Source organism: Homo sapiens, chromosome 17 (assembly GCF_000001405.40).
Source record: "Homo sapiens chromosome 17, GRCh38.p14 Primary Assembly".
NCBI lineage: Eukaryota > Metazoa > Chordata > Mammalia > Primates > Hominidae > Homo > Homo sapiens.
In genome coordinates, this window is record NC_000017.11 from 18,117,676 (window position 1) to 18,134,959 (window position 17,284).

Here is a 17,284-nt window from a genome sequence, read left to right on the forward strand (position 1 = left end):
AGTTAGACTGGCCACCAACCAGACTTTGGACATGCAGCCTTAGGTCAGGCCATATGAAGCAATCAGCTATGCCCAGAGAAGGCAGTAACCACATGGCCACAGCCTACTCAGCCAGGGCAGAAAGTAAGAGGAGAGGACAGGGCTAGGCAGGGACCCCAGAAAGGAGCCAGCAGGAGGCATCTCCAGTTACCCAGCAGCTCCATCAGGTCTTGCTTCCTTTTGGTGAAGGAGATGGGGCATAGCTTATCACTCCCATTCTTCAGAGGAAACTGAGGCCCAGAGAGGACAAGGACTTTCCTGGACCCACACAGCCAGTCAGTGACAGAGCCTAGGGTCTGAGCCAGGCCTGACCCAACCTCCATTTCTGCCTCTCTACCCCTGCCCCCGCCCCAACACACACACACACACAAGTGGAGTTCCACTGAAACGCCCCTCCTTGCCCTGCCTTCTGAGCCGGCAGCCTGGCTCCCCACCCCATGTATTATTCAGCTCCTGAGAGCCAGCCAGCTCCTGTTACACTGACCGCAGCCCAGCACCTGCTCTGCCCATTCCCCTCCTCCCTTGCCTAGGACCTAGAGGGTTCAAAGTTCTCCTCCAAGATGACTTGGTGGGCTTTGGCCATCCCACCCTAGGCCCCACTTCTGGCCCAGTGCAGGTGTGCTGGTGATTTAGGGCAGGTGGCATTCCATCTCTGTGGCTCAATGTCTTCCTCTGTGAAGCCGAAGTGACCCAAGGGCTCCCTTCATGGGGTTGAGCCAGCTGTGGCCCAGGGAGGGCCTAACCAGGATGAGCACTGATGTTGCCATGACGACTCCGAGGCCAGAATGTCTCCCCCAGCACAGGCCTCATAGGCAGGCTTCCCCATCCTGGTAAACAACACCCACACACTTTCTACTACTGCTCTAGGGTGAAACCCAAGGCGCTCTAGAGGAGATGAATTATGGATCCGCCCTCCCGGAATCCTGGCTCGGCCCTCCCCACGCCACCCAGGGCCAGTCGGGTCTGCTCACAGCCCGAGGAGGCCGCGTGTCCAGCCGCGGGCAAGAGACAGAGCAGGTCCCTGTGTCTCCAAGTCCCTGAGCCCGTGACACCGGCCCCAGGCCCTGTAGAGAGCAGGCAGCCACCATGGCGAAGGAGGAAGATGAGGAGAAGAAAGCCAAGAAAGGGAAGAAGGGGAAGAAGGCACCGGAGCCGGAGAAGCCCAAACGGAGCCTGAAGGGGACGTCGCGGCTGTTCATGGGCTTCCGCGACCGTACACCCAAGATCTCCAAGAAGGGCCAGTTCCGCAGCGCCTCGGCCTTCTTCTGGGGCCTCCACACCGGCCCCCAGAAGACCAAGCGCAAGAGGAAGGCCCGCACCGTGCTCAAGTCCACGTCAAAGCTCATGACGCAGATGCGCATGGGCAAGAAGAAGCGGGCGATGAAGGGCAAGAAGCCGTCCTTCATGGTGATCCGCTTCCCAGGCCGCCGTGGCTACGGCCGCCTGCGGCCGCGCGCCCGGTCACTCAGCAAAGCGTCCACGGCCATCAACTGGCTCACAAAAAAGTTCCTCCTCAAGAAGGCCGAGGAGTCGGGCAGCGAACAGGCCACAGTGGACGCCTGGCTGCAGCGCTCGAGCTCCCGCATGGGCTCCCGCAAACTCCCCTTCCCGTCGGGTGCCGAGATCCTGCGGCCTGGGGGCCGGCTCCGGAGGTTCCCCCGCAGCCGCAGCATCTACGCGTCAGGCGAGCCCCTGGGCTTCCTGCCCTTCGAGGACGAGGCCCCATTCCATCACTCGGGCTCCCGCAAGTCGCTGTACGGGCTTGAGGGCTTCCAGGACCTGGGCGAGTATTATGACTATCACCGCGACGGCGACGACTACTACGACCGGCAGTCACTCCACCGCTACGAGGAGCAGGAACCCTACCTGGCGGGCCTCGGCCCCTACAGCCCGGCCTGGCCACCCTACGGCGACCACTACTACGGGTACCCGCCCGAGGATCCCTACGACTACTACCACCCCGACTATTACGGTGGCCCCTTTGATCCGGGGTACACCTACGGCTACGGCTACGACGATTACGAACCCCCATATGCGCCCCCGTCGGGGTACTCGTCTCCTTACAGCTACCACGATGGGTACGAGGGCGAGGCGCACCCTTATGGCTACTACCTGGATCCCTATGCGCCGTACGACGCGCCATACCCACCCTATGACCTCCCATACCACACTCCCTACGATGTACCCTACTTTGATCCCTACGGAGTCCACTACACCGTCCCCTATGCCGAAGGCGTCTATGGCGGTGGGGACGAGGCCATCTACCCCCCCGAGGTGCCCTATTTTTACCCGGAGGAGTCGGCTTCGGCCTTTGTGTACCCCTGGGTACCACCGCCCATCCCGTCGCCCCACAACCCGTATGCCCACGCCATGGATGACATCGCCGAGCTGGAGGAACCAGAGGACGCGGGCGTAGAGCGTCAGGGGACCTCCTTCCGCCTGCCCAGCGCCGCCTTCTTCGAGCAGCAAGGCATGGATAAGCCCGCCAGGTCCAAGCTGTCCCTCATCCGCAAGTTCCGCCTCTTCCCGCGACCCCAGGTGAAGCTGTTTGGGAAGGAGAAGCTGGAGGTGCCCCTGCCACCCTCTCTGGACATTCCTCTCCCCTTGGGGGATGCGGACGAAGAAGAGGACGAGGAGGAGCTGCCCCCGGTTTCCGCTGTGCCCTACGGCCACCCTTTCTGGGGCTTCCTCACGCCGCGCCAGCGCAACCTCCAGCGCGCGCTGTCGGCCTTCGGCGCCCACCGGGGCCTGGGCTTCGGCCCTGAGTTTGGCCGCCCCGTGCCTCGCCCTGCCACCTCGCTTGCGCGGTTCCTCAAGAAGACGCTGTCGGAGAAGAAGCCCATCGCGCGGCTCAGGGGCAGCCAGAAGGCCCGGGCGGGCGGCCCTGCTGTCAGGGAGGCGGCCTACAAACGCTTCGGCTACAAGCTGGCTGGCATGGACCCCGAGAAGCCCGGCACGCCCATCGTGCTGAGGAGGGCCCAGCCACGCGCTCGCAGCAGCAACGACGCGCGCCGCCCGCCCGCGCCACAGCCCGCGCCCAGGACCCTCTCCCACTGGAGCGCGCTCCTGTCTCCGCCCGTGCCCCCGCGGCCCCCAAGCTCCGGGCCCCCGCCCGCGCCGCCGCTCTCCCCGGCGCTCTCGGGCCTGCCCCGGCCGGCCTCGCCCTACGGCTCCCTCCGCCGCCACCCGCCGCCCTGGGCCGCCCCAGCGCACGTGCCACCGGCGCCGCAGGCCAGCTGGTGGGCCTTCGTGGAGCCCCCTGCCGTGAGCCCGGAGGTGCCCCCCGACCTACTAGCCTTCCCAGGGCCCCGACCCTCGTTCAGGGGCTCCCGCCGGAGAGGGGCGGCTTTCGGCTTCCCCGGGGCCTCTCCACGGGCGTCGCGGAGGCGAGCTTGGTCACCGCTGGCCTCGCCCCAGCCCTCGCTGAGGAGCTCGCCGGGCCTCGGCTACTGCTCACCCTTGGCGCCCCCGTCGCCTCAGCTGTCCTTGCGCACGGGCCCCTTCCAGCCGCCCTTCCTGCCCCCGGCCCGCCGGCCCCGCTCGCTGCAGGAGTCCCCAGCCCCACGCCGAGCCGCTGGGCGCCTGGGCCCACCCGGCTCGCCGCTGCCGGGCTCACCCAGGCCGCCCTCGCCGCCCCTGGGGCTCTGCCACAGCCCGCGGCGCAGCTCCCTGAATCTGCCCTCGCGCCTCCCGCACACGTGGCGGCGCCTCAGCGAGCCACCCACTCGGGCTGTGAAGCCGCAAGTGCGCCTGCCCTTCCACCGACCGCCCAGGGCCGGGGCCTGGCGGGCGCCCCTGGAACACCGGGAGAGCCCGCGAGAACCCGAGGACTCAGAGACGCCCTGGACTGTGCCCCCACTGGCCCCCAGCTGGGACGTGGACATGCCTCCCACCCAACGCCCACCCTCCCCCTGGCCAGGAGGTGCAGGCAGCCGCCGAGGCTTTTCCAGGCCACCCCCTGTGCCGGAAAACCCCTTTCTCCAGCTCCTGGGCCCTGTGCCATCCCCCACCCTCCAGCCTGAGGATCCAGCTGCTGATATGACCAGGGTCTTCCTGGGCAGACACCATGAGCCGGGGCCTGGACAGCTCACCAAATCAGCTGGCCCAACCCCTGAGAAGCCTGAAGAAGAGGCCACCCTGGGGGACCCCCAGCTGCCAGCAGAGACCAAGCCTCCAACCCCAGCACCTCCCAAGGATGTCACTCCCCCCAAGGATATCACTCCCCCCAAGGATGTCCTCCCAGAGCAAAAGACATTAAGGCCCAGCCTCTCATACCCACTGGCTGCGTGTGACCAGACCAGGGCCACATGGCCACCATGGCACCGCTGGGGAACACTGCCCCAAGCCGCAGCCCCCTTGGCGCCCATCAGGGCCCCAGAGCCCCTGCCCAAGGGGGGTGAACGGCGCCAGGCAGCCCCTGGGCGTTTTGCTGTGGTCATGCCTCGTGTGCAGAAGCTGAGCTCTTTCCAGCGAGTTGGGCCTGCAACCCTGAAGCCTCAAGTCCAGCCCATTCAGGACCCCAAGCCAAGAGCCTGTAGTCTTCGCTGGTCCTGCCTCTGGCTTCGGGCAGATGCCTATGGACCCTGGCCACGAGTACACACCCATCCCCAGTCCTGCCACCTGGGCCCTGGAGCTGCCTGCCTGTCCCTTAGGGGCTCCTGGGAGGAGGTCGGCCCGCCAAGCTGGCGGAACAAGGTATGGAGGCACAGATTACACGGAGGGTTTGAGGGTTCTGGCCTAGGAAACAGGGCAAGAGAGACAGCCTGAGGAGCCCTGTGCAACCTTGGAGAGAGGCTGCTTGCTGGGGCCTCAGTCTCTGGGTCTGTAAGTTGGGGAGAACAGCCTGGACCTCCCAGAACCTCTGGAGGGTTGAACAAGGGGATGCCCAGCACAGGCAGGCCCAGGACAGAGACGTGGGAAACTGCTTCCAGGTCACTCTGGGGAAGGATCTTTGTTCATATTCGGCTTGGGCCCTGGGCAGCCCTGCCCTGATCCAATCTGGATGACAGGTCTGGCCCCTAACTTCCCCTCAGAGATTTTGGCCAAGCCAGATGTGAAACTGCCGGACATGCCTATCCATCCTGTTCCACCGCACATCCAGGTCTCTGCAGTTCCTCCTGCCTCCTACTGACCCTCCCCCAAATTAAAGCCTCCTGTTTCCTCAGGGTTTTTGCTGCCCTTTGAAGTCCCCTGGGCTGCAGGATTCTGGAATAGGTCAGGGTGAGGGGCTCAGGATCCAAACTTCCAGACTCCTCATTGCACAGAGGGAAAACTGAACCAGGAGTCCTTCTGGAACCCCATGAGGGGTGCAGGGTAGGCAGCCCTTCGGATGGGTGCCCAGCCCATGCCTGGCTGCCACACTCAAGGTGGAACTCGAGCCTGATGCTGGGTGGCCCTTGGCTGAGGTGCGTGGTCACCGGAGCCTCTCTCAGGATGCCGGGGTGGTGGGCGGGGCAAGCAGGGGCAGCAGGTGCGTCTCAGCCTCTGCAGACCATGCCTGGCGGAGCAGGCAGCCAGCCGGGCCCAACAATGGCAACCGGGGCAGCCTGGCTGCTGAGGGGGCCCTGGCCCCGGCGGCGGATGCCCCGCGCTGTGTGGGCTGCAGCGTTGCGGGAGCGGGGCGCAGGGCGTCTAGGGGTGAGGGGCAAGGATGCCTGGGTCCTCCTTACCCTGGAATACGTGAGTGGCTGAATTATTCAGGGTCTGCGGCTGCTGGCAAGCACGTGGGCAGATGGGTGGGCCGGAGGCCAGGGCCGAAAGGGTGATACTCGCTGTGCCCTACTTAGCAGTCCAGCGACAGGCATGCAGGGTTCCTTCCTGGTGTCCTCTTTCCTCGCCTGCTCAGGGTGCAGCTGGGATTGGAAAGGCTGAGGGTGTACACGTGTGTGCTCCCAGTCATGTGGATCCTGCGCAGGCCTGCATGCCTGAGCATGTGTGCAAGTGTGTACCACAGCCAAATGACGAAAGCTAGTGTATGGGGTCTGAGCAGATGTGGCATCCCTGGGGGTCAGGGTTGTTTGCCCACCCTCTGCCCATGTGCACAGACGTGTGCTCACAGAGGAGACCCTGCAGCCCAAAGGTGGCATCAGGACTTCCATTCACCAGACCCCCAGCATAGGGAGGGACCCAGCTGTGCGCCCACATGTATGTGCCAAGTGGACAGGTAGAGCATGTGCCTGCACACCGTGTGCCTCCAGCCGGGCCCCACAGGCCTGCGTATGTGCCCACAGGCCTACAGGAACACCTGTGTGCCTGGGAGTTGTATGAGCTGTAAATGCCATTGAGTGTGGGTCCATATGCAGGTGTCCACGCATTTTCCCCAGGATGAGCATGGGGTTGTGGTGCTAAGACAGTCTCCATCTCTGCCCTCCTAGAGGCCCCATGCACCAGGTCACAAGTGTCCTTTGAGTTGTCACACAAGCCAACATATGGGGTCTGCTGGTGCTGGAAGAGTTGCGGTTGGGAGGGAGCTGGCCCATGCGCCCATGTACCTGCATATGCCTTTGTTCACCCCCTAGGGCAGGACACTTGGGAGCTCATGGGAGGGCCTGCCTGGGCACTGAGGGTATGCGTGTGTCTCATGTGTGAGGGTCGCATGCAGGTTCTGGGGGCCACAGCATTCTGTAATGAGGAGACCTGCAGGACCCACCTGGCCTTGGGGTTCCCTCCCCAACAATGGTAGCAGGCCCCAGGTATGACCAAGCCAGGGGTCAGTGGGGGAGGGGGGTGCCCTTCAACCTGCAGACACAGCCTCTCTCTCTCACACAGATGCACTCCATCCGCAACCTGCCATCCATGCGGTTCCGTGAGCAGCACGGGGAGGATGGTGTGGAGGACATGACACAGCTGGAGTGAGTGGGCAGGGCCGGCGGGGTCAGCAAGGGGTCACCATGGGGTCCCCACCCTCCCAGCCAGAGCAGCTCCTCCTGCAGTTGCCTCTCACCTCCCAGGACATTTTCAGAGCCTCAGTCATGAAGTGTCACAAAGACTAAATGTGGTGTGCTTTGTGAGTTAGACGGACTTTGGTTCAAATCCTAGCCCCACCACTCACCAGCTGGCAGACGTTGCACAAATCGCTTTGTTTCTCTGCACCTCAGTTTCTCATCCACAAAATGGGAGTGGGATGGCTGTTGTGAGGATGCCAGCACATTGGAGGTACTCAAAACATGAGGGCCGTGTTGGTCAGCATCATTATCTAATCACAGTGATTACGTAAGAGTGTCCCCCAAACCCCCAATGAAGTAGGTACAATGATTATCATACCCATTGGACAAATGAAGAAAAAGGCACAGAATAGGGAAGTAATTTGTCCAAGGTCTCCTAGCTGGTTGGTGTCAGAAACAGGACTTGAATTCAGGCCTATCTGATCAAGGCACTGCACTGAGTTGGGGAGGGAGACCCATGCCAGAACCAGCCCTGGGGGCACTGACGGCTTCTCTCTGTGTCCTTCTAGAGACCTCCAGGAAACCACTGTGCTGTCCAACCTCAAGATTAGATTTGAACGGAACCTCATCTACGTAAGGCCTGGGGCTGGCCCTGCCCTGGGCCTAGGTCAGGAAGGCAGCTGCCTCCTGGGGCCGGGTGGGACGCACAGATTTCTCTTGTGGGCCCTAGCCCCTGTGGCCTCTGCCTAGAATGCCAGAGCCTAGAACTAAAATCTGAAGTCTTAAAACACAGTCTTAGAATGGTGGATGCCAGAGGCCGGGCACAGTGGCTCACCCTGTAATCCCAGCACTTTGGGAGACCGAGGCAGGTGGATCACGAGGTCAAGAGATCGAGACCATCCTGGTTAACACGGTGAAACCCCCTCTCTACTAAAAATACAAAAAAAAAAAAAAATTAGCCAGGTGTAGGTGGTGCATGCCTGTAGTCCCAGCTACTTGGGAGGCTGAGGCAGGAGAATGGCGTGAACCCCAGGAGGCAGAGCTTGCAGTGAGCGGAGATCGCGCCACTGCACTCCAGCCTGGGTGACAGACAGAGCGAGACTCCATCTCAAAAAAAAAAAAAAAAAAAAAAAAAAAGAATGGTGGATGCCAGAGGCAGAAAGCTGGAGACAGAGAATCCAGAAATATGTGACACCCCCACCATCTGGGACCTGACAGATAGAACTTCCAGAGTCCTAGAATCCATAGACCTGGACCCCAGAGTGGGGATGGCCAGAGGGGTCAGAGGGGAGCCTCTGACCTGAGAATGACAGAACAGAGGGCCAGGGGCTCAGTGCCAGTGTGGAAGACAAGGACACCCAGAAGGGCTCTGGCCACATCAGGATCCCCTGAGTTCCCCAACTCCTCACTCTAGGCAGTGGAGGTTTGCCCTCAACAGGAGCCAGAAGTTCCTGGAGCCTGGGCCCAACCTTGAACAAATGAAGTAGGCAGGAGCCCACCCAGGATCGTGGCTGTGGGGTTTGCTCACTCCAGACTCCTCTCAGCTCAGCCTGGTGCAGTGCCTGAGATTCCACTGTTAGAGCACGTAGCCCAGCTAGCTGGTAGAGGGCTCTAGATGGGAATCCCGAGTCCAGGCAGCCAGATATCTGTCCGGATGGAAACAGGGAGCCAGGCTCCCAGCATAGGGGAGGGAGGGACATAGAGGTCTGCAAGGAGCCACGACGCTGAGGCCACCGTCTGCCCAGCAGACATACATTGGGAGCATCCTGGTGTCGGTGAACCCATACCAAATGTTTGGAATCTATGGGCCGGAGCAGGTGCAGCAGTACAACGGACGGGCCCTGGGAGAGAATCCCCCGTGAGTGTCTCGGGGGCGCTGCCCTGGGGTCTCTTGGGCCCCTCTTTCCCCTGCTCTGGGAGCCTGGATCCCGGCTGCACCTGAGCCATGAGTCAGAGGTAATGGGGAAAGGCAGCCCACCTACTCAATCTGACAGTCTCTCCCCAGGCAGGGCCGAAGCTACAGGTTGGAGGCCACTGTCGTTCAGACCAGGATGGGGGTGGGAGCATTCCCCCAACAGGGTGAGGGGTGGGCAGGATTGGCTGTTTGGCTGGATACGGATGCTCCCTGCCCAATCCCTGGGAGGTGTGGGAGCTTAGAGGCAGGGGCCAGCTCTAATGACCTGTCTCCCCAGGCACCTCTTTGCTGTTGCAAATCTCGCCTTCGCCAAAATGCTCGATGCCAAACAGAACCAGTGCATAATCATTAGGTGAGTGGGCTGCCTTTATGTGGGGGATAAATGGGGGACCTTAGGTAGCAGGCCTGCATCTGGCCAGAACTGCTGTGGGACCTTGGAAGATTGCCTGGTACCTCTGGGTTGGCCCACCGTACATATCCTCTTGCTTCATGATGGGAGTCAGGGTGCCCCAGAAGAGGCAGCGAAAGGTTGGAGCTCACTCTGCCCCTTTGCTCGGTCAGTGGAGAGAGCGGCTCTGGCAAAACTGAGGCCACCAAGCTGATTCTGCGCTACCTGGCCGCCATGAACCAGAAACGGGAGGTCATGCAGCAGGTGAGTCTACCTGTCTCCCCAGGACCCTAGGCTGAACACCCTTTGATAAGCACACCTCATGTACTCCCGAAGAGGCAAGGCTCCTTGGCCCACCAGGAAGATGAGGAGGCTGAGTTCCAGAAGGGGGCCTTGCCCAGGGCTGCTTTTTCTGCCACCCTTCCCAGGGGTGTGCCTGAGGGGTGAGAGTTCCTGCCTGTCTGTGTTTCTGTGGCAGCTCCTGCTTCCAGCCCTCCGGGTCCAGTTCAGAGTGGAGACCACATAGGGAAGGGGAGTCCACATAGGGAAGGGGAGTCATCCCATCTCTCCCACCTGGCCTCACCTTCCTGGTCATGGCCCTGGGGCCACCATATTCTCACACCCAGAAGCTATGCAGCCCCCAGCGGTCAAGAGGCAGGGCAGGCCTGAGTGTGGGTTAGGGGTGGGGTGGGGGAGGCAGTAGATGCCAGGCCAGAGTCTGAAGGATTGGAGCTTTGCTGACAAAGACAGTGCTAAGCCCTCTGAGCCTGAGAATGGTAGAACTGCATCCGTTCCCTCAGTAAAGATCTACTGAAGACCTACTGTGTGCCAGTCCCAGGCTAGGCACTGGGGAGGGGTAGCGGCAACTCAGGCAAATGTTCACACCCTTATGGGAACTTCATTCTAGTGGTGGAGGTGGGAAGAAAAAAAAAGATATATATATATATATATATATATATACACTTATATAAGTAAATTATGTGTATGTGAAAGGGTAGGTGGTGAGTTGTGGAGGAAAAAAGTGAAGAGAAGGGTGGCGAGTGTTGGGGGTTGCAATCGTAAGTGTGGTGGTCAGGGTAGGCTGTACTGAGAAGACAAGAGAGTGGGCTCTAGGAAAGTCTAGGGGAACAGTGAAGAGGCAGAGGGAGGAGCGCCTGCACTTTGAGGTGCAAGCAGATTGGGTCCAGGTGCAGGTCAAAGCCAGCCAGCAACCTACAGAGAAGACAGACTGGGGTGTGAGAGGGAGAACTGTCGGAGGGTGACCCCAGACATTCGGTCTGAGCCACAGGCAGCATGGAGGCAGGCTGGGCAGTGGAGGAGGAGCAGGTTTGTTGAGAAGAGGTGTCTGCTAGGCATCTACACAGAGATGGCAGGGAGGTGATGGATGCACCACCAGCCTGGAGCTCAGGAGAAGGTGGGACTGGCCTGCCAGCTCAGACTCCAGAACCACAGACCCAGACTTCCCCAACCCTGGGGCCCACAAAGGTTTGCACATGGCACAATGTCCTAGCCAGGGGCGAGCCCAGCAAGGTGATCCTGGGGGCGTAGGTGGAGGCTGCTCAGGCTTTGCAGTCAGGTTCCAGCCTGGCCTGGCCCCCTCTGATGCCTGCCTTGGCCTGCCAGGGTCTCCCATCCCAGCCCAGGCCTCCTGATGACCAAACAGATCATCCCTTGCTCCAGAGTTTTCAAAACCTTTCAGGTCAGACTTGTGGAATGACTAGGTAGGTAGGCAGGGAAAGAAGTAAGTGTACCTCGTGCACCTCCTGTGGCCAGGCACAGTGCTGGGTTCCTTCAGTTATCGTCACACCGGAGCTTTACGGCAACCCTGGGAGGTAGGTACACTTGTATCCATTTATAGATGGGAACACTGAGGCCTAAGAAGGGAGGAGTGAGGTGGTGCAGGAGCTGAGATTTGCAGTCCATGGCAGAGAGCTGTCAGGGAGGACGGATGGAGCTGTGGATGTGGCTGAGTCTGGGAGTTTGTGTGTGCCAGGCACACAGAATGTGTGAGGATGTGCCTGCCAGCTGTGATGACCATGGGGCTCCTTTCCTAGACATGGCTCTTCCCTCCTCAGATAATCAAACAGTCCAGTTCAGTTTTAGGCATGGCTGGATCCAGAATCTTAAACAATGTTTCTTGTCTTGGCTCCACCCTCCCCCATGTATAGGCATCATCCTCAATCTGTCTCCTATTGGTCAGCAAGCTGGCACCATAATGATCAACCCTCCCAACATTTCAGAAATGAAACATTCAGAGCTCCGTCTCACTGGGCAAGTTTTGGTCATATGTCCTCACTGGAGCCAACCACGTAGCACAGGGAATGCTCTGCCCTGACTGGCTAAGGCCTGGACCACAGGTTCCACCCTTCTGGTGTTTACCCACTCCATCCGCTGGCTTTATGCCCTGCTGTATGCTGGGCACCGGGAACAGAGAAGCAGCCAACCTGTCCTCAAGGGCTTCCCAGACTAAGGGATAGTACACAGGAAAGCCCAGGCAGACCTTGACTTATTGAGCAATCACAGGCCAGCCCCATCCCTCTCTGGACCTCAGTTTACTCCTTTATGCAATGGGTGCAGTATTTCCTGGACTAAATGGGACAGATGGAGGGAACTGGCCCCATCCCCAAAATTACAGGTATTGTTTCTGTGGTGACTGGACCTCCTTTGCTTCTTCCCTAAAAGATTATCCTGAGGAAGTGCCTCAGCTGAAGAAAGTGCCACGTACACACTAGGCCCATGCTCATCACTCGAGTGGACTCTGGAGTCCCTGGGCATGTCATTTCACCTCTCTAAGCTTCAGTTTCCTAATCTGCAAAACAGGGGTGATATTAGTACCTACCTCATGGGATTGTTAACAACGGCATTATCAGGGCAATGTGTCTGGCACACAGTAGGTGCTTAAATAGGTGGGAGCTTGTGATCAGCCATGGTCACCCCTGGGCAGCTCTGCCCGTGAGATGGTATTCCTTTTGTTTTTTGTTTTTGTTTTTGTTTTTTTTTAGACAGTCTCACTCTGTCACCAGGCTGGAGTGCAGTGGTGCCATCTTGGCTCACTGCAATGTCTGCCTCCCAGGTTCAAGCAGTTCTCCTGCCTCAGCCTCCCAAGTAGCTGGGACTACAGGCGCCCACGACCACGCCCGGCTAATTTTTTGTATTTTTAGTACAGACAGTGTTTCACCATGTTGGTCAGGATAGTCTGGATCTCCGGGCCTCGTGATCTGCCCACCTCGGCCTCCCAAACTCCTGAAATTACAGGCGTGAGCCACCATGCCCAGCCGATGCTATTCCTTTTTCCATCCCTTTAGCAGATATTTTTGAGAGCCTATTAAGCACCAGGTCTGTGTAGACGCTGGGGACTCAGAGATGTGCAAACAGTAGATCCGTGCCTGTAGGATTTGACATTCTAGTGGGGAGACAGACAATAATACCCAAGAAAATAGAGAGTTTGCCAATGGGGCTGAGGGCTACTGGAGAGAGAATTCTGGTGGCCTTCCTGTGAGAGGTAAGGGGTTGGGGGGTGGGGCATGCAGGTGCGTGGGAGCAGTGACTTCCAAGCAGAGGGAACAGGAGATGCCAATGGTCAGAGGCAGGAGTGGGCCTGGGTGTCAGGGAACAGTGAGGAAGGCCAGGGAGGATCCTTGGCTGGTGGTAGCCATGGGGGTGGGGAGAAGAGGACATCCCCAGAGCTGTTTGGAAGGCAAACTCAGCATATTTTCATACCTTGGAGACCCCATGGCAGTCCCCAAGCCTGGACCCCTGGGGTCTCTGAGCCTCACAGGTTTTTACTAGTCCCTCCCTGGTCTGAGGCTCCTAGTCTCCTGGAGAGAGTGGTGGTCGGTCCTGCTAGTGACTCCATTCTGTTCTTGTCTGTCTCTTTGTCCTCCCTCCTGGACGCTCTTGAAGATAAAGGTACTCAGTGTGTGTGTGTGTGTGTGTGTGTGTGTGTGTGTGTGTGTGTGTGTGTGTGTGTCTGTCCAGGAAAATGCGTGTGGATGTGCCTGCTCCTGTGTGGGTGGAGGGACAGGCAGGAAAGGACATCCAAAGGCCTGTCCTAGGCAGGGCTGGGGCTTGTGGTCAGGGGCTGCTGTGGGGGGCCATGGAGGCTGGAATGGGGAAGCATGGGGCTTGCTGTGTGGGAGTTGGGCAGCATGGGGTGGGAAACACTGGGGGGCACTGGAGAGACCTCAGGATTCTCTAGGGAGCCCACCTCTGGTCATCTCTCATAAAGGGAGGTCCTTGGGAAGGCTCATGTCTGGGTGTCCCCAGCTATGCCCCCCACCCAGGCCCCCAGAACAGTGCCTAGCCCCTCAATTCCCACATCTCCTTCTGGAGTCCAGATCCTGGAGGCAACACCCCTCTTGGAGTCCTTCGGTAATGCCAAAACCGTCAGGAACGACAACTCCAGCCGCTTTGGGAAGTTTGTGGAAATCTTTCTGGAAGGGTGAGTTGGGACAGTGGAGGGCCTCCCAAAAGCCTTGCAGTGTCTTCCATGTCCTGCCACAGCCCCTCGGAGCCAACACCAGCCCTCCTACCCTCACTGAGAGCTGACTGTGCTCCCCACCCCAGGGGCGTGATCTCTGGTGCCATAACCTCCCAGTACCTGCTTGAGAAATCCAGGATCGTGTTTCAGGTGGGCCACCCCCTCCCAGGCCTCTGTGTTGGGCAGGGTCGGGGTGGGAGGTACAGATACTCAGAGCCTGGCCCCTGGTAGGGCTAGGTAGACGTCAAATTAATGAACGAATACATGCGTACATGTGTACATGTGAGCCCAGGACCTCCCCTCCCCGACCCTCCTCCAGCCACGGTGGCTCCTCCCTGCCCCGCAGCACACAGGCACGCTCCTGCCAGGGCCTTTGCACCTTCTGTTCCTTCCCTCAGGAGCACTTATCCTTCAGGCACCTGCTTGGCCAAACCCCTCACCTCCTCCAAGTCTCCCCTACAATTTCACCCACTCAGGAAGCTCCCCATTTAAAAACGCAGCCCCTCTCCATCCCATCAGAGCCCCTACCCCGTCCACTGCTTTATTTCTCTCCAGTGTACTTTTCCCTGTCTCATATATTTTATGTTTTAAGCAGTTATTTGCTGAGTGTCTGTCTCCCTAGCTAGCAGGTGGGCTCCATCAGGTCAGGGGCTTCTCTCTACGTTGTTCCCCACTATGTCCCAAGGGCCTAGGACAGGGCTTGGTGCACAGGAAGTGCTCAGCCATCAAGAAGCTCTGTGTGTGCACATGTGGGCTATGGACACACATGTATGCAGGTGTGTGTGGCCGGTACACATAAGAGAAGACGGGTCCCTTTTCTCTTATTTCTCCTAACCAAATAAAATCCCACCAGAACCCTCTCAAACTTCAATCATACCAGGGCACCTCTGCTTCTGCCCTCACCCGCAGCTGGCACCAGGCTGGGAGCCTCACCCATCACAGAGGCGCGTGTTCTCATCTGCAGCCCACTGTGTGCATGTGCACTTGTGGGCAGGCTTGGGCTTGTATGTGTGCCTGGGGGTCACCTAGGTAGGTGGCTCCCTTCTCTGTGCCCACCTACCCACTCTACAGGCCAAAAACGAGAGGAATTACCACATCTTCTACGAGTTGCTGGCCGGGTTGCCTGCCCAGCTCAGGCAGGCCTTTAGCCTGCAAGAGGCTGAGACCTACTACTATCTGAACCAGGTGAGTGCCAGCAGGCATCTGAAGGCCCCTGGCCCTGGTCCTCCCACCCCGACGCCCCTGGCTGGGCCTTGGGAGCCGAGTTGTGAGTGATGGAGTGTGAAGGTGAAGGAGATTTGGGGAGGGTGAGTTTGGATTTAAGACATCTCATGGCAGTGAGGGGGACCAGGAGTCTTCTGGGTCCAAAGCGGAAGCAGGAAAGGCCTACCTGACTTCATTTCTCTGGAACCTGGAACAGAACCAACCAGTCTAGAGTTTCTACACTTCCCCTCTCTGTGCCTCAGTTTCCTCACCTGTAAAATGGGGACAACATAGTACCACTTTGCAGGGATGTAGTGAGGCTTAGATGAGGAAACGCATGTAAAGAGCTTAGCACAGGGCCTGGCATGCAGTACATGCTCAGTAAACACTTGCTACTCTTTTCATTACTATCACTGGGCAGCTGCAAAGGTCAACAGGTGACAACCCCTGCCACACATTGCACTTAGAATCTATGAACTCCGTCCTCAGCCGTGCTCAGAGCCTCCGTGCCCATGAGAGTGAAATGACAGCTTGAGTGACCAACTCAGGCCACCACACTACTGGTCAGGGCAGAGCAGGACCTGGAGGGCTCCCCAGCCCCACCCAAGCTCCCTGACCCTCAGCCTCTGCCCTCATGCAGGGTGGGAACTGTGAGATAGCAGGAAAGAGCGATGCAGATGACTTTCGCCGGCTCCTGGCTGCCATGGAGGTGTTGGGCTTCAGCAGTGAGGACCAGGACAGCATCTTCCGCATCCTGGCCTCCATCCTGCACCTGGGCAACGTCTACTTTGAGAAGTATGAGGTGAGGGGACGCCACAGCCTGCCATGGGGCCCGCACCCTCTGGACTTGGCCGTCTTTTCCAAGGCCTTCTCTGTTTCCCTTTCAGATTACACTATGCACATATCACTTGTTCCTGTTTTTTTCTTTTTTCCTTTGGGGTTGTTCATCTTTTTCCTCCTTATATATATTAAGGAAATCAGCCCTTTGTGTCTGATATGAATTGCAAATATATATTCCAGTTTGTCATTTATGTTTTAACTTTGTTTACAATGTTTTTTGGTGGGTTTTTATTGGCGGGGAGGGGTCTCACTCTGTCACCCAGGCTGGAGTGCAATGGCGCAGTCTTGGCTCACTCCTGTTGGCTCACTGCAACCACCGCCTCCCAGGCTCAAGTGATTCTCCTGCCTCAGCCTCCCGACTGCCTGGGATTACAGGCACACACCACTACCGCCCCACTAATTTTTGTATTTTTAGTAGAGACGGGGTTTCACCATGTTGGCCAGGCTGGTCTTGAACTCCTGACCTCAAATGATCCACCGGCCTCGGCCTCCCAAAATGCTGGGATTATAGGCATGAGCCACCGCGCCCAGCCCTTTGGTGTTTATTTTATTTTATTTTATTTTTATTTATTTATTTTTTCTTTGAGATGGAGTCTCGCCCTGTCGCCAGGCTGGAGTGCAGTGGCGCAATCTCGGCTCATTGCAACCTCTGCCTCCCAGGTTCAAGCGATTCCCCTGCCTCAACCTCCTGAGTAGCTGGGACTACAGGTGTGTGCCACCACATCCAGCTAATTTTTGTATTTTTAGTAGAGATGGGGTTTCATCATGTTGGCCAGGATGGTCTCGCTCTCTTGACCTCGTGATCCGCCCACCTCGGCCTCCCAAAGTGCTGGGATTATAGCCGTGAGCCACCGTGCCCCGGCCTGTTGGGTTTTTTATGCAAATTGTTTTAAAATTATTTTTAGATAGTTCATTTATCAATATTTTCTAGTACATTTAAATTTTATATTTGAAATTTTAAACTTTTTCATTTTTGGAGAAACTTCCTAAAATTGTAACAGCCTTCTTCCATAACTTTTTCTAAGACCTTTTATGGATTTTGTGAGTTTTAAAAAACACTTAAATCTTTGATCCATCCAAATTTATCCCAGTAAGGTGTGACGTAGGAATCCAACTTTTTTCCCAGGTGGTTACTCAATTGTCCTAATCTCTTGATTTGAAAAATACATCTTTATTAGCTGGGTATGGTGGCTCATGCCTGTAATCCCAACATTTTGGGAGGCCAAGGCAGGTGGATTGCTCGAGCCCAGGAGCTGGAGACCAGCCTAGGCAACATAGCAAGACCTCATCTCTACAAAAAAAAATTATTTTTAAAAAAGAAAGAAAAATACATCTTTGTCATGTGCTAAGTTTATATATACATTTATGTCTAATTCCAGACGTTCTATTGTGCTTTGTTAATCTATTTATGTACTGTGTCTATGACTACACTGGTTTTTTTCTTTTAATCGGCTTTTTTTTCTTTTTATTTTTTGAGACAGGGTCTCACTTTATGGCTCAGGCTGGAGTACAGTGGCACTTTCATAGCTCACTGC

The 17,284-nt window shown here is 57.7% G+C and overlaps 1 protein-coding gene across 7 annotated transcripts in view; it reads left to right on the forward strand.

The window, feature by feature from the left end:
• The window catches only part of MYO15A (myosin XVA), a 71,045-nt gene that overhangs the window by 8,920 nt on the left and 44,841 nt on the right, over positions 1-17,284 (forward strand). For 5 of the 7 annotated variants that reach the window (XR_934039.3, XM_017024714.3, XM_011523918.3 and 2 more), the window contains exons 1-10: positions 995-4,734; positions 6,808-6,890; positions 7,493-7,556; positions 8,672-8,781; positions 9,116-9,190; positions 9,400-9,490; positions 13,564-13,667; positions 13,793-13,856; positions 14,778-14,891; positions 15,550-15,711. Coding sequence is in view for 6 of the 7 variants with exons in the window: in XM_017024714.3 (XP_016880203.1) it covers positions 1,126-4,734; positions 6,808-6,890; positions 7,493-7,556; positions 8,672-8,781; positions 9,116-9,190; positions 9,400-9,490; positions 13,564-13,667; positions 13,793-13,856; positions 14,778-14,891; positions 15,550-15,711 (4,476 nt within the window). In the remaining variant the exon portion in view is untranslated. Of the gene's footprint in view, positions 1-906; positions 4,735-6,807; positions 6,891-7,492; positions 7,557-8,671; positions 8,782-9,115; positions 9,191-9,399; positions 9,495-13,129; positions 13,136-13,558; positions 13,668-13,792; positions 13,857-14,777; positions 14,892-15,549; positions 15,712-17,284 lie in introns of those variants that run through there. The other 2 variants (NM_016239.4, XM_017024715.3) reach the window with 2 other exon arrangements.